General features: G+C 43.5%; 1 protein-coding gene across 6 annotated transcripts in view, besides 2 other annotated features; it reads left to right on the plus strand.

Annotated features, from left to right (window-relative positions):
• RAD54L2 (RAD54 like 2) overlaps window positions 1-16608 on the plus strand; it is a 129942-nt gene that overhangs the window by 40071 nt on the left and 73263 nt on the right. For 5 of the 6 annotated variants that reach the window (NM_001322253.2, NM_001387866.1, NM_015106.4 and 2 more), the window contains one exon: window positions 11578-11770. The exons of the other annotated variant lie outside the window; for it this stretch is intronic. In NM_001322253.2, the coding sequence (NP_001309182.1) occupies window positions 11632-11770 (139 nt within the window). In that variant the 5' untranslated portion in view covers window positions 11578-11631. The remainder of the gene's footprint in view (window positions 1-11577; window positions 11771-16608) is intronic. 6 annotated transcript variants of the gene reach the window in all.
• Window positions 4305-5090: an enhancer, noted in NCBI's record as "H3K27ac hESC enhancer chr3:51617110-51617895 (GRCh37/hg19 assembly coordinates)". NCBI's record gives its function as "activates a minimal SCP1, AML or CMV promoter by ChIP-STARR-seq in primed H9 embryonic stem cells {active_cell/tissue: H9 hESC(primed)}" and the evidence as "EXISTENCE:reporter gene assay evidence [ECO:0000049][PMID:30033119]".
• Window positions 14682-14885: a silencer, noted in NCBI's record as "fragment chr3:51627487-51627690 (GRCh37/hg19 assembly coordinates)". NCBI's record gives its function as "represses an EF-1alpha promoter that drives an FKBP-Casp9 reporter gene in an ReSE screen in HepG2 liver carcinoma cells {active_cell/tissue: HepG2}" and the evidence as "EXISTENCE:reporter gene assay evidence [ECO:0000049][PMID:32094911]".

A 16608-nucleotide genomic window follows, 5' to 3' on the forward strand; every position in this document is an offset into this window, starting at 1 on the left:
AGCTTTGTAATCTGTGGATGGCTTAAGTGTTAACAGCTCAGTGGAGGGTCCGTGTGACAGCCTCTTGCACCCACCCTCATGGCACCTGAGTTCTTGTTCGGTATCCAGGAAGAATGAGGTCACACGAACGAATTGAAGGTGGTAAATGTGGGGGATTTTATTGCTGATGAAAGTGGCTCTCAGCCAGAAGGGGAGCTGAAAAGGGGACAGAGCGGGACCGTAATCTTCCCCTGTAGGCCTTCCCTGGCCGGACTCCTCTCCGAAGCTACACCATCAAGCTGTCCCTCTGAAGTCAAGCCGCTTTTCTGTGACATCCAACCGTAGTCTCTGATGCACACCTGCTTCTCCTCTCTCTGCAGGCTGAGCCTGGGCTTTTTTTTTTTTTTTTTTTGAGACAGAGTCTCACGGTGTCGCCCAGACTGCAGTGCAGCGGTGCAGTCTTGGCTCACTGCAAGCTCCACCTCAAGCCTGGGATTTTTATGGGTGCAGGATGGGGGGCAGGGCGGGCCATGGGTGGTTTTGGAAAAGGAAAACATTTGAGTGGGAAAACAGATGTAAGTTCTCACTTTGGGCCATGGTTCCAGGCTTGAGGGTGGGGCCCTTGCCAGGGACCTGCCCTCTTCTGCCCAGAATTTCCCTGCCTCCTGTTCCTATCCTAATTCTCATTATCAGTTTTATTATTACTTAAAATATGGAAAACAGTTTTCTCCTAATTCTCATTATCAGTTTTATTATTACTTAAAATATGGAAAACAGTATCTGAAACAAATTTGGTTCATGTGAGATTCCTGTCTTCCTTTGTGAATTGAGGGGGTGAAACTCACTACGTATTTCCATTTACGAACCCCGGTACCATTTAATTACTAAGTCAACTAGAAATGTGACATTTAGTAGTTTAAAGGTACAGTTTAGGGGCATGTGTTCTCAGGACCTCTGAGGCTATATCACAGGCAAACAAAAAAGTTAAATAAGTAGTATATAGATAAGAAAAGGTACAGTTTACCGGTTGTGTTGAAATAATTCCACAGTTTATTTTTACACATGGGAAGTCAAGAAATCCATCTTCAAACTTTCTGTTGCATTTTGCAGATAGAAACTTTTTACCCTTATTTGCCACTTAAATCCATGTGACACTATATTTCCAACACCAACAATCACTTCTCCAAACAGCACCATGGTGTTTCCAACACTAACAATCAATTTTCCGATTCTCTGGACACCAACTAGATGTTCAACAGTATTCAATTCTGACACTGCCGGGAGTTGGAGCAGATACCACAGGCTAAGGGCTCGGTATTGCAACAACACCCCCACTTTAGACACTAGTCTCAAGTCTTGGCCCACCAGTAACTTCTGACTGACCAGCTATGAATAGGGCATTCCCAAGACCCCTCCTCAGGTTTAATAATTTGCCTGAATGGCCCATAGAACTCAGGAACACATTTTGCTTAGGTTTACCTGTTTCTCATAAAGGATACAACTCAGGAACGGTGAAGTGGAAGAGATGCCAAGGACAAGGTATGGAGGGAGTGGAGCACAGAGCTTCTGTGCCCTATCCTGGAGTGTCACCCTCCCAGCACTTTGATGTGTTCTCCAACCTGGAAGTGCTCTAAATCTCATTGTTCAATAATTTTTATAGAGCTCAATTTCCAGCCCCCACAACCCTACTTCTTAGAGTTCAGTGAGTGGGGCTGAAAGTTCCACCCTGTAGTCCCTGGTCATTCTAGGGACGGGGTCTTTCTAGGTCTTTCCAGTCCCATCCTGGGGCTATCTAGGGGCCCCACCCTAAGTTTATTAGCATAAACTCTGGTGTGATCAAAAGGGGCTGATTATAAATAACAAAAGACACTCCCATCACGTAGGAAATTCCAAGGATTTTAGGAGTTCTGTGCTGGGAACCTGGGACAGAGACCAAATATATTTTGTCTTATACACAAAGCACCACAAAGGGCCTGCAGCTGACTAACATTACCATTGATTTTAGAACTGTGAGAAGCAGAGCCAAAAGAGTTTACTCCTGTCTTGAAGCTAAGTGCATAGAGTGCCCAAGTCACTGGCAAAGTCACAGTGGAAAAGCGTTAATAACCATCCAAATGCAATAATATTAGTACGTTATATTATTTTCTGTAGAATATTTTGAAAATACAAAAGTATATATCACAACGTAGTAGTCATCCATTAACACTTTTATTTGTACTAGATACCAATTAAGGAAAAACTATAGAAACAACCTATATACCATGTAGGTGTAGCTATTTTAAAAGAATTGGTAATTGAAAATCGAAAGTGACCAGTGTCAGCTCAGAAAATCAGCGGTGGTTGTTATTATTATTAACGAGACTCTGTCGCCTAGGCTGGAGTACAGTGGTGCAGTCTGGACCCACTGCAACCTCCATCTCCTGGGTTCAAGCGATTCTCCTGCCTCAGTCTACCAGGTTGCTGGGACTACAGGCACGCACCACCACAACCGGCTAATTTTTGTATTTTTAGTAGAAACGGGGTTTCACTGTGTTGGCCAAGCTGGTCTCGAACTCCTGGCCTCAAGTGATCCACCCACCTCGGCCTCCCAAAGTGCAGGGATTACAGGCGTGAGGCACTGTGCCTATTTGCATTATAAAAGGATTCATATAGAATTCCTGCACGGTCTTATTTAAAAGCTTTGATTTGTTGAAATGCTACTTCCACAGAGCTTTTCAGGATCATGTCTGGTGAGTAGTTTGACTAGATAGAATCTTTGTCACACAGTTCATACTGAATGTTCATGCGGCTATGAAGGGCAAAACATCTCCTCTGTGCGCAGCTTGTATCGGTCTGGGCTCGAAAGCACCCAGACTGAGCTCTGTGGCTCTGTGATAGAGCTCTCAGGAGAGGGAGGATCCTCAGAGGGCTTGTACTTTGAGAAGAGACTGGCAAGGGAGAATGGAGGCAGTGGTGATTGGGGAATTGGAAGGATGAGACACTGAGCATGGCTTGGCTTTTTTCCAAGCCTCTTCAGTCTCATTGTCTAGCAGATAAACCTGATCTGCTTTTAAGCTGTTCTGAACTCAGGGCTGACTTAGGCTTAGGGAAGTCTGAGGAAAGTGGACCCTCCATGTCCCTGCCATGTGGGTTCTTGTTTCTGTAGTCTCCCTTCTCTTTTCTTTTTTTTTTTTTTGAGTCAGGGTTACTCTGTCACCCAGGCTGAAGTGCAGTGGTATGATCATGACCCACTGGAACCTTGAACACCTGAGCTCAAGTGATCCTCTGGCCTCAGACTATAGGTGGGCACTAGCATGCTGGCTAATTTTTAAATTTTTTTGTAGAGATGAGGTCTCACTATGTTGCCCAGGCTGGTCTCAAACTCCTGGGCTCAAGCAATCCTCCCACCTTGGCTTCTCAAAAGTCCTGAGATAATAGACATGAGCCACTGTGCCTGGCCAGTAATCACCAGCTTAAGAAGTTATAGCTGTGTGGAAAGACACAGGACTCATAGGTCAAATGGTAACATCCTACATACACAGAAGGAAACACACACACAAACAAAGCCTTTGTTCACAAGCAAAGAATTTCTTTCTCATTCTTGCCTCATCCCCTGTATCCAGAGATCTTATTTTTTTCCTCTTCTTATCACCTTCATTTTACACTGGTCTGATGTTTTTTGTTTTGTTTGTGTGTGTGTGAGTGAATTTTTCAGAGCTCAGCTTTCTAGAGGGTGGAGCAGTGTCTGTCACACGGGCTTCTCATAGCTCAAACTGTCATCCCTGCTTTAGCTCATCTCTTCCTAATTGTTCTCTACCCTCCACCCCCCACAACTCTGCCTTTTTTTTTTTTTTCCTGCTGGCCATGATTCCATGGAGAAGGAAACGAACCTTTCATTTGCTCCCCTCAGAATGGCCTTCTAGAACTTTGCCTCTGTTTACTCAAGGCGTCTGGGAATAATCCTGTAGGGGTGTGCTATTCAATGACTTCCTACTTGAAGGGTCTAAGCCAGGGAAGTCTTTTTTTTTTGAGACGGAGTCTCGCTCTGTCGCCCAGGCCGGACTGCGGACTGCAGTGGCGCAATCTCGGCTCACTGCAAGCTCTGCTTCCCGGGTTCACGCCATTCTCCTGCCTCAGCCTCCCGAGTAGCTGGGACTACAGGCGCCCGCCACCGCGCCCGGCTAATTTTTTGTATTTTTAGTAGAGACGGGGTTTCACCTTGTTAGCCAGGATGGTCTCGATCTCCTGACCTCGTGATCTGCCCACCTTGGCCTCCCAAAGTGCTAGGATTACAGGCATGAGCCACCATGCCCGGCCAAGAATGTTAATATATCTTAAAAATTAATAAACTTACATGTTAGCAAATAACCTTTTTAATGAAAAATATTTTCTAAAACAATAAAATTGGAAGAGTAGAATTGTTTTACGCATTTGAAAATTTGAAGATGTCTGGCTCCATAGAGACAGCTAGATTCCTAGATCTCCTTCAACATATAGCCTGTTGTGACTTATTGTTTTGATGTTGACTTAACTGTATTGTTGAAGCACATGAAGAAAAACGAGCCTCACACAGAAATGTAGTTGGAAAAGGAAGGCATGTGTTTTAATAAAGCCTTTTCAGATTGTGTATATTCTTTGGTACTATGCCAAAACTCTGATAAGTGGTAGCTTCTTTTTTTTTATTTTTTTTTTTTTGAGTCTCGCTCTTCTTGCCCAGACTAGAGTGCAATGGCCTGATCTTGGCTCACCACAACCTCCACCTCCCGGGTTCAAGCAATTATCCTGCCTCAGCCTCCCAAGTAGCTGGGATTCCAGACATGTGCCACCACGCCCAGCTAATTTTTTTTTTTTTTTTTTTTAGTAGAGACGGGATTTCTCCATGTTAGTCAGGCTGATCTTGAACTCCCGACCTCAGGTGATCTGCCCGCCTCGGCCTCCCAAAGTGCTGGGATTACAGGCATGAGCCACCACGCCCGGCCGACAAGTGGTAGCTTCTTAAAGGTTAATTGTAATACAGAGTTTGAAAAAGTTACCTCGAGGAATTTTTTTGTACTTTATTAACATAAAAATCCATTTTTTATCTTGCACTTTGAATGGCTTTTTTTTTTTTTTTAAACTGGGGTAGCCTCTTGAGCCATGGTGGGCTCAGAGACTCCCTGAATGGCTCTTTAAACCATAATTTTGACATTGTGGTTCCATTGAAAGGGTCTTGGGGACTCCCAGGGGTTCCCAGACCACACTTTGAGAATTGCTGTTTTAGAATCTGGAAGAGATCTTGAAGATTAACTCAGGCCCATTTCTCCCCTGGGTTGGAATAAGAGGAGTGATTGAAGCTGAGGGAGGACTGACTTGCCCAAAGTCATTTAGCTAGTTATTCATAGAGCTGTGGCTGGAATTAGGTTTCTTGACTGATTCTGTAAACATGTCTTTAGTGCTATGCTAGGTTCTGATTCCCTGGGCCAGGCTACATTGTGCTATCTTTTGGAGGTAGTTGTCTCCTGTGGAGAGAGTTGTCTTCTGTGGCCCTGGTCCTTCGAGTCTTGAATGCATTTGTTCACCTTTTGTTTCTTATTTTCTCTTAAGTTTCAAATTGCCAAAATCATCATTATATTTCCAAGTAAAATGTTGAGCTGTTGTGTCAGTTTAGCTCTGTGGCTGCTTTGTGTGTATCTAAATTTTCTTTATGTAACTGATAGACACTCAAAAGGCATTGGGCTACATGGAGGTTTGAAGTATGCATTGGGTGTGATTGGAGTAGTGTCTGTTTTGCATAGGAAGGTATTTGGAAAGAACTTTAACAGTCCATAGTGGATCTCTCAGCAGACTGGAAGAATTCTGTGGGTACTTGGTGAGTACTATACTCCGTATAGTACTCTACAGTACTATATATATATATATATATGCTATATATACTATAATATATATACTCTATAGTACTTACTATAGAGTAACTGAACTTTCTTTTGTCTTTGAATTATATAAATTCCTTGTCTATTTTTTTTAAGGGTATTGACCAAAACTTTGGACTGAATGTTTTCCTGCTGTTCTTTTTAAAAATTTTTTATTTATTTATTTATTTTTCGAGACTGGCTCTGTTACCTAGGCTGGAGTACAGTGGTACAGTCATGGCTCATTGCAGCCTTAACCTCCCGGGCTCAAGTGATTCTCCCACCTCAGCCTCCCAAGTAGATGGGACTACAGGTACACACCACTATGCCTGGCTAATTTTTTTTTTGTAGAGGTGGGGTCTTCTCTACAAAAAAGCCCAGCCCAGGCTGGTCTCAAACTCCTGGGCTCAAACGATTCTCCTGCCTCAGTCTCCCAAAGTGTTGGGATTATAGGAGTGAGCCACTATGCCTGGCCTGTTTTTCTACTCTTAAAAGACTTTCTTCCCCTTGTAAATTAGCTCAAATCCAGTGTTTTGTATAGATATTCTTCAAGAAAAAAAACAAGTCATTTGCGCTTGCTGTGGACTTGCTTTGAGACCACTTGACAGAATTTAGTACTACTGAAGGTCACCAAAATTAATGAGGACATGGCAGTCTGGGAAGGATCTTTTTATTTAAAAGGAACAATCATGATGCTATCAAGGACCATAATGACATCTGTGAAATTTCATGAGCTGCCTCACAATGATGAGGCAGCGTGTGTGCTCGGAGTCTTATGATTTCAGTGTGAACTCTGCAAGCCTGGTCGTCTGCTTTGTGAACAAAGGCTTTGTTTGTGTGTGTGTTTCCTCTTGTGTATATCCTAATATCCCCACCTTGCCATGCCTCATGTCTCTAAGGCCTGTGCCTGCATGATTAATTCTGCTGATTGTTGGCCAGGTACCACTCTATTGACAGGTGGCGTTGTCTTTGAACTTAGCAAGGCAGAACAATATTTTCCTTCACTCTCACGATTGCTATGAGGTGCTAGGCTAGGATTGGCTATGGGTTTCTTCATAATTACAGCCTCCTTTTAACAAACCTAATATATTAAACTGTAGACTTATTAAAACACTTAGGGGTTGAATATTTGCTTTTCAGAGCGGTCCTCTTTAGAGTTCCTTTAAATAGCTAGTTCTCCAGTTTCATTAAAATACAATTTGATTCCCAGAACTTGCACTGTAAGAACACAGGTCCTCATTAAGGTGCAGCATACCCATTATTGCTCTCCTGGTTTCTGTGTATTAGAGGCAGAGCCCCTTGTCACTGGAGATTGTAGCAGTGTTTTGCCTAGAATGAGGAGCAAATGAGGGAGATGGATTATTTTCTTTATCACCACCCCGCCCCCACCGCCACCAACCATGTCTGTCTAACAGTTCTGCTAAGAGCTGACTACTGAATCAAGGCTGCCTTGTGTTCTGAAAGGCTATGCCCACATAGACGTATGTGTGTGTGAGGGTGGAGCCCCTTAGAGAAGAATACAGTTGACTGCTGCTGCCCACCAAGACCAGCCTTTCCTCCTTTTCACTTGTTGCCTGGGCTCAAGTGATCCTCCTGCCTCAGTCTCCCAAGTAGCTGGGACTACAGGTGCACACCACCAAGTCCAGCTAGTTTTTGTATATTTTGTAGATATGGGCATCGCTGTGTTGCCCAGGCTTGTCTTGAACTCCTGGGCTCAAGCAATTCCCCCACCATGGCCTCCCAAAGTGCTGGGATTACAGGCATGAACCATCACACCAGGCTCTTTGTTGCCTTTGTTTTTTTTTTTTTGGAAGTCTCTGTCGCCACCACACAATTTCTTCTCTAGAATGACAGGCATTCAGGTTGCCTAAAAGTACTTGCTAATTAAAAATGGTTCTCTAAAATCAGCCAAGCACACTGCAAAGAAAACACTTTTTTTTTTTTTTTTTTGAGATGGAGTTTCACTCTTGTTGCCCAGGCTGGAGTGCAGTGGTGGGATCTCAGCTCACTGGAATCTCCACCTCCTGGGTTCAGGCGATTCTTCTGCTTCAGCGTCCCGAGTAGCTGGGATTATAGGCATGCGCTACTATGCCTGGCTAATTTTGTATTTTTAGTAGAGATGGGGGTTTCACCATGTTGTTTGGGCTGGTCTTGAACTCCTGACCTCAGGTGATCTGCTCACTTCAGCCTCCCAAAGTGCTGGGATTACAGATGTGAGCCACCATGCCTGGCCAAAACACTCTTATCTCAAGGAGTCTAGGATGAAAGAGAGGGGTTGTGCTGTTTACAACCATTGACTTCCAAACACAGAGTAGTTACTGATGAATATACTAACATTCAGAAATAAATTTCACTGCAAATATTAAGAAGTAAATTTTACTTTCAAAGTTGTTGATATCTAATTGATTTACTACTTCCTTTCTAAAACCTATTAAATGAACCAGTGACACAGGGTAGTGATTTCTTTCTTTTTTTTTTTCTCGAGATGGGAGTCTCGCTGTGTCGCCCAGGCTGGAGTGCAGTGGCGTGATCTCGGCTCACTGCAAGCTCCGCCTCCCGGGTTCACGCCATTCTCCTGCCTCAGCCTCCCAAGTAGCTGGGACTACAGGCGCCCGCCACCACGCCCGGCTAATTTTTTGTATTTTTTAGTAGAGACGGAGTTTCACACGTGTTAGCCAGGATGGTTTTGATCTCCTGACCTCGTGATCCGCCTGCCTCGGCCTCCCAAAGTGCTGGGATTACAAGCATGAGCAACCACGTCTGGCCGGATAGTCGTTTCTGCAGAGATTTAAAATCTGCCAGGTCACTAAGTGAATGGTAGCTCAGCATTAACTATATGAATTTGTATTTGTCGATCACATTTATCCCCTGTCCCTTAATGCCCTTTGCAGATGTTTTTGGAAGTGAGTTATTAATGCAAAAATTTAAATTTTATTACTAGATCATTTCACAGCTGTTTTTTACTTTGAGAGGCTAAGTACATGAACCATCTGCACACACACACTCGTAATTCCTGTTATTTCTAACTCTGAACAATTCTTAAGTTCTAGTTTTCCAAAACTCTAAATAATCTAGTTTGCTTTTCTTTTTTTCTTTTCTGTTCAGGAGAAGATAGATGTTATGTTTCAAATTATCTGAAGCTTAGTAAGATATTGCAGTTCTGCAGTACTTTTTATGTTAAATGACTAGAGACTTGTACTTCAGTTTTTATTTTGGGAGATAGGAATTTGAGGATGATCTGATTGTTGATGTATTTATCTGCAGCAGTTTGTCTTGTAAAAGATGATTTATGGCCGGGTGCGGTGGCTCATGCCTGTAATCCCAGCACTTTGGGAGGTCAGGAGATCGAGACCATCCTGGCTAACACGGTGAGACCCCGTCTCTACTAAAAATACAAAAAATTAGCCGGGCGTGGTGGCAGGCGCCTGTAGTCCCAGCTACTTGGGAGGCTGAGGCAGGAGAATGGTATGAACTCAGGAGGTGGAGCTTGCAGTAAGCCAAGATCGCACCACTGCACTCCAGCCTGGGTGACAGAGTGAGACTCCATCTCAAAAAAAAAAAAAAAAAAAAAAAAAAAGATGATTTACCTCTTCTCTGATTTTAGTGTGAAAATTTGAGGCTGGGCACAGTGGCTGATGCCTGTAATCCCAGCACTTTGGGAGGCTGAGGCGGGAGGATCACCTGAGGTCAGGAGTTAGAAAACAGCCTGGCCAACATGGTAAAACCCCGTCTCTGCTAAAAATACAAAAATTAGCTGGGTGTGGTGGTGCACACCTGTAGTTCCAGCTACTCGGGAGGCTGAGGCAGGAGAATCACCTGAACCCAGGAGGTGGAGGTTGCAGTGAGCTGAGATCGTGCCACTGCATGCCAGCCTGGGTGACAGAGTGAAACTGCATCTCAAAAAAAAAAAAAAAAAAAAGAAAAGAAAATTTGAAATATACAGAAAAAATGGAAAGAATTGGTCAGTGAATTTACTAGTTAACATTTTGCTATATTTACTTTATCAAAGAGCTAACCCAACTAGCCATCTCTTTACCATGGTTTTTATTTTTTTACCCTCACGAAGGAATGGCCTTTACAGCTAATAGTAAAGTGATAAGAGAGACAGACATGCACAGTGCCTGACACATGATAGACATAGTATAGCAGGTTAGCAAATGATGGACTGAATGTGAATGAATGAATAACTTGGGTAAAACATACTTCTAGCTCCTGTGTACTCCCAGCCACTCCTCCTCTGCCGTTGGTGCTCGGTCTTCCTGGAACACACTCCCTCAAGATGTCTTTACGGCTTCCTTCCTTCCTTTTGGTTTCTGCTCAGTGAGAACTTCACTGACCTCCCCTATATAAACTAGCAGCTCCTCCTGCCACACACCAGCCCTAAGTATTCCCTGCATGCTTTGTTCTGCTTCCTGCTGTGTCCCCAAACTCTAGAATAGCACCTGCGATTATATACAACTGTTCCTCCATGTACAATGGGGTTACATCCTGATAAATGCATCGTAAGTTGAAAATATTGTAAGTTGAAAGTCTATTTAATACACCTAACCTACTGAACATCATAATTTGGGCTAGACTACCTTAAAGGTGCTCAGAACACTTAACACTGTCTTAGCCAGGCATGGTTGTATGTGCCTGTCGTCCTAGCTACTCAGGAGGTCTTAGGCAGAAGGATTGCTTGAACCCAGGAATTTGAGGCTGCAGTGAGCTATGATTGTGCCTCTGCACTCCACCCACACTCCAGCCTGGCCAACAGAGCTGGACCTTGTCTAAAAATAAATAAATAAAATAAAGAGCACTTACATTGTCTACAGTCAAAATCATCTGGCAGCACAGAAAACTGCACACTTCATGATAGCATGGTGGACTGGAAGCTTTGGCTCATTGCTGTTACTCAGCATTGCCAGAGAGTATAGTTCCATATGTCACTAGCCTGGGAAAAATTTAAAATTTGAAGCACAGTTTCTACTGAATGTGTGTCATTTTCGCACAATTGTAAGTTAAACCATCGCAGGTTGGGGACTCTATACATATATATATATATATATACACACACACACACACACACACACATACACACACATATATGTATATGTATAAATAGATACAGAGAGTTGGTGCTCAGGAAACAGTTGATACAGGAAGGAATGAACAAATGGGATTTCCAAGGTTTATAGTTTTGTTGTTATTGTTACTTTAAGGTGTTTTCTTGTCAAAATAGCCAAGAGATGTTTGAGCTATGCAGAGTCACTAAAACATGTCTCAGAGCCAGAACACTCATAGGGAAGGTGGTGATTTGGATACGGTTAGCTTGCCTTGCTTAGAGAAGTTCCGGGGAATTCATGTTCAGCATTTTTTTCTTTGTTTTTCTTTTGGAGAGAGTCTCACCTCGTCGCTCAGGCTGGAATGCAGTGGCGCCATCTTGGCTCACTGCAACCTCTGCCTCCCCGGTTCAAGCAATTCTCATGCCTCAGCCACCTGAGTAGCTGGGATTACAGGTGTGTGCCACCATGCCTGACTAACTTTTGTATTTTTAGTAGAGATGGGTTTTCACCATGTTGGCCAGGCTGGTCTCGAACTCCTGACCTCAAGTGATCCACCCACCTTGACCTCCCAAAGTGCTGGGATTACAGGCATGAGCCACTGTGCCCAGCTAGCATTTTTTTCTTTGAAAGACTTGTGTTCCTAAGCAAAACCCTTGGTGATTCTGATGCCTTTCATCCTCTCCTAGCACCCCTGCAGTGGACCATGAGTCGGTAATGCCCACTGAGGACCTCTGGGAGCCATGTCAGACGAATCTGCCTCAGGGAGCGATCCAGACCTGGACCCGGACGTGGAGCTGGAGGATGCGGAAGAGGAGGAGGAGGAGGAGGAGGTGGCAGTGGAGGAGTGTGACAGGGATGATGAAGAAGACCTGCTGGATGGTAAGTGGGCTCTATTGAGTGACAGAAGTTGCCTTATATTTTCCTCCAGTGGAATTTTTGCTGGGAGACCTTGGCGTTTCCAGTTAGATTTCTTAGGCCATCCATAGTGGGAAGATACAGACTAGGAACTGAGATGCAATGAATTCAGATGCTCATTCCTAGGAAATAGATTATTGTTCCTCCACATAAGCTTTGTTTTACTGCTGGAAGAACCTTTAGCCTTTAGCTTGTCTCTGACAGATGTTTGGACTCAGGTCCAGAGATTCGAGTGTTGCATACTTGCCCAGGTCATGGAGGAGTCAATGGCAGAGTTCCTATGGTAAGACTTTGCAGTCTGGAGGCCATGGGCTCTTCAGGTAGATGTGAGGGTAACTGTGAGTGGTCTGTAAGTTTTCTGAAATTATACATACAATTGTGCTTGTGTGTACATGAGGGAATTGTCCAGGCAGAGATTCTTAGACAGATTCACAACTTCAGAAAGCTCACTGCATCTCCTGCAGTGCTGCGCTACCTCTTGGCCATTCCAGTGACTATAAATTGCCCCTACTGGGAGGGCACTACATCTCCATAGCTGGTAGATCCCCTTTTGATGCCTTCTATTTGGTTTGCTCAGCTCACTCCTTCCTTTGCCCTCAGCTTCTTGAAATGGCATTGAACTTTTAATGTTCAGTCTAATGTTAGGTTATTTGGCCAGCCACAAGGCTTCTCAATTAATTCCAGCCTTTTATGGCATAGGATTTAGTTGTTTGTAAGCTTCCTACTGACTGAGGAATAGGGTTTTTGTCTGTTCATAACAGACCCCCTAGTGGGACTGAACGTTGCATTAGATCATCTAATTACTTGAATCTGAAGGAACGTAGGAAAATGTACTCCTGCCGTTCTCCAGATTCCAGGAGGATGAGCACTGATCCTCTGTCTTTACTGGTGTTTACTATCTTCAGTTCTCATTCATCCTAACAGCTGTCATGTGGCTTGGGAATCCGTTTGCCCTCCTTTATACTGTCCAGAAGCCTCTCTCCATTTCTGCGGGGAAATGACCATTCACTTTTATCCCTCCAGTAGCATTTGCTGTCTGTTGCTAGCTTATTCAGTTGGAGTCTCATTTCTAGAAAGTAGAATGAATAGAAATAATGGAAGACAGTAATGTTTGCTTGGCTCTCATTGTTCCTGAGATGCTGTTAGAGTCCCTAGGTGTCAGCATCACTTTTTGCTTTTCATCATTGGGTTCTCATAATTGTATTTACAGACACCCTTAGAACTCCCATCAGGTTTAGATTGGATTTTAGATGCTTCTGGTGAGTGTAATGGATATATACACACTATCTTCCCTGTTGGCTTCTTGGAATTCTCTTTTCCCTTTTCCTTGTAAAATTGTTAATTATTCAAAAATTATATGATATGCTTCTGCGGACTTTACTATTATTTATTTAGAAATGACAAGAATTTAATTGTGATTTGTCTCAGAATAATGTAGCTGTGCAATTTGGTTTTGGTGTTTTTTTTTTTTTTTTTTTTTTTTTTTTTGAGATGGAGTTTTGCTCGTTGCCCAGGCTGGAGTGGAATGGCGCCATCTTGGCTCACTGCAACCTTCACCTCCTGGTTCAAGCGATTCTCCTGCCTCAGCCTCCTGAGTAGCTGGGATTACATGTGCCTGCCACCATGCCTGGCTAATTTTGTATTTTTAGTAGAGACGGGATTTCTCTATGTTGGTTAGGCTGTTCTCGAACTCCTAACCTCAGGTGATCTGCCCGCCTTGGCCTCCCAAAGTGCTGGGGATTACAGGGGTGAGCCACCATGCCCGGCCTTAAATACTTTTTTAAAATTTTAAAATGACTCATTTTTATTGAAGTTCAGAGTGATAAACAAACGTTCCATTAGGCCCTATGTCCTGCTGTGCTCTGCTAGGTTAACTGACTTCTTGGAATTTGACTCAAGGACCATTTTTATATTTCACTACAGTGTTAGAGCCACAAAAATAAAAGTAATACTTCTGTTACTTCTGGTGTTTTTGACCCTATTTTACCTCTTAAAGCTTTTTTTTTTTTCTTTTGTTGGCCCTGGCTGGAGTGCAATGGCGCGATCTCGGCTCACTGCAACCTCCGCCTCCCAGGTTCTAGCAATTCTCCTGCCTCAGCCTCCTGAGTAGCTGAGATTACAGGTGCCTGCCACCATGCCCAGCTAATTTTTGTATTTTTAGTAGAGACAGGGTTTCACCATTTTGGCCAGGCTGGTCTTGAACTCCTGACCTCAGGTGATTCACCTGCCTCGGCTTCCCAAAGTGCTGGGATTACAGGCGTGATCCACACCCGGCCTAAAGCTTTTCTTTTCCTCTCATGTTGAGCACTCTATGCAGTTTTCCTGAAAAATCCAAAACCTGCCTATTTCTTTAGTCTTGTCCTTGCTGCCATCCCGTAGTCATGGGCAGAGCAGCTAGCTATTCTACTAGTAAGAATAGCTATGAATAATCTAGTTTTAGTTGGTGTAGTGTGATGTGGCCCTTTTGTTTTCTTAGAGCAGTGGTTCTCAACCTGGTATGATTTTGCTTCTTAGGGAACAGTTTACAATGTGTGAAGACACTGGTTGTCAGGATTGTTGGGGGTGGGGTGGGGATGCTACTGTCATCTTGTGGATAGAGGCTGAGGATGCTATTAAACATCCTACAATGCATAGGAGAGCCCCTAGCTCACCCCAACAATTATCTGTCCCAAATGTCAATAGTACTGAGATCTGAGAAACCATTTCACAAAAGAAACTTACTTCAGCCCCTTTTTTTTTTTTTTTATGTTTTTTTGAGATGGAGTCTTGCTCTGTCGCCCAGGCTGGAGTGCAGTGGCGCGATCTCGGCTCACTGCAACCTCTTCCTCCCAGGTTTACGCCATTCTCCTGCCTCAGCCTCCTGAGTAGCTGGGACTACAGGCGCCCACCACCATGCGTGGCTAATTTTTTGTATTATTAGTAGAGACGGGGTCTCACCGTGTTAGCCAGAATGGTCTTGATCTCCTGACGTCGTGATCCGTCCGTCTCGGCCTCCCAAAGTGCTGGCATTACAGGCGTGAGCCACTGTGCCCGGCCACTTCAGCCCTTTTTATTTGAAGTTTCATCTCTACTGGATAACCACAGCTTACTTTTATATTGTTTGTCATAGTTTACACAAGCATGTGAACAATCTTATTCTTTTCAAAAAACTGTCTTTTGGGTTTGGTGTATTGTGTTTGTTTTCTTTGTAATTTCTACTTTCTAATTTTCTGTTTCTTTTGGGTTTATTTTGCCTTTCTTTTAGACTTCTTAGGAATGCGCGTAGCTTATTAATTTTCAGATGTTTTTCTACGTAAATATTTAAAGCTTTCTTTCAAACTTCTTAAGAATGTGCGTAGCTCATTAATTTTTAGATTTTTTTTCTATATAAGCATTTAAAGGTATAATTTTCCCTGTAAGCTTTAGCTCCATCCCCCCATAAGCATTTTGACACACTTTATCATACTTAATTGTCTTTCTTTTTTCTTTTTCTTTTTTTTTTTTTTTTTTTTTTGAGATGGAGTCTTGCTCTTTTGCCCAGGCTGGAGTGCAGTGGCATGATCTCAGCTCACTGCAACCTCCACCTCCTGAGTTCAAGCAGTTCTCCCACCTCAGCCTCCCGAGTAGTAGCTGGAATTACAGGCATGCACCACTATGCCTGGCTAAGTTTTTGTATTTAGTAGAGACAGAGTTTCACCATGTTGGCCAGGCTGGTCTCAAACTCCTGACTTCAGGTGATCCTCCTGCCTTGGCCTCCCAAAGTGCTGGGATTACAGGCATGAACCACTGTGCCCGGCCCATACTTAATTGTCTGGATAATCTTGTATGTTAGGTAGGGTAGATACATTTTACAGATGGGGAAACTGGGGCTCAGAAAGGTGAGTGGCTTACTCAGTATAACTTAGCAAGAAATTGGCAAAGCTGGACTTTTGGTCTTCAAGGCATTGCTCCTTTTTCAAACCAATGCTGCTTCTGAGACCATAGATTCTTATAATCGCCTTTCCTGTGATGTGTTTGCTTTCTTTCCTAGTTTCTGCTTTGAGGGAAGAAGGTGATTGTTAATTATTGTTGAGCAGAGGTGGAAGGACAGTTAGAAGTAACAGGAGGTATAAGGCAAAGTAGAAGGGAAAGTATGGCAAATGCTAAGGAATGATGAGCCGTCTTATTTGTTAATGCACTGGACACAAGAGGGGTAATCACCAGAGTGAGACTGGAGAGATGACCTATGGTTAGATCATGGAGTAGTTTAGAATTTGTTTTATAGGCAACATGGAATTGATGGGCGCTTTTTTTTTTTTTTTTTTTTTTTTTTTTTTTGACGGAGTCTCGCTCTGTCATCCAGGCTGGTGGCACAATCTTGGCTCACTGCAACCTTCACCTCCCAGGTTCAAGCGATTCTCCTGCCTCAGCCTCCTGAGTAGCTGGGACTACAGGCACGCGCCACCACATCCTGCTGATTTTTTGTATTTTCAGTAGAGACAGAGTTTTACCATGTTGGCCAGGCTGGTCTCAAACACATGAACTCAATTAATCCACACGCCTCAGCCTCCCAAAGTGCTGGGCTTACAGACATGAGCCACCGTGCCTGGCCGATGGGCCCTTTTACTGAGGAGCATCCATCAGACCTTTGACTTCAGGAATGGTACTCTAGCACTGTATCAAAGACATGGCCTGTAGACAGGGAGGATCAGTTAGGTCTGTAGTAGAACTCTATGGGAAAGGGTAATGAGGATTAGAACTGTTTGTGTCAGTCGATCACACAAGAGGAGTAAATGGTCAGACTTGTTGCACTGGATTTTATAGGACTTGGTGACTTACTGGAT

This window comes from Homo sapiens, chromosome 3, assembly GCF_000001405.40.
Source record: "Homo sapiens chromosome 3, GRCh38.p14 Primary Assembly".
Classification (NCBI taxonomy): Eukaryota; Metazoa; Chordata; class Mammalia; order Primates; family Hominidae; genus Homo; species Homo sapiens.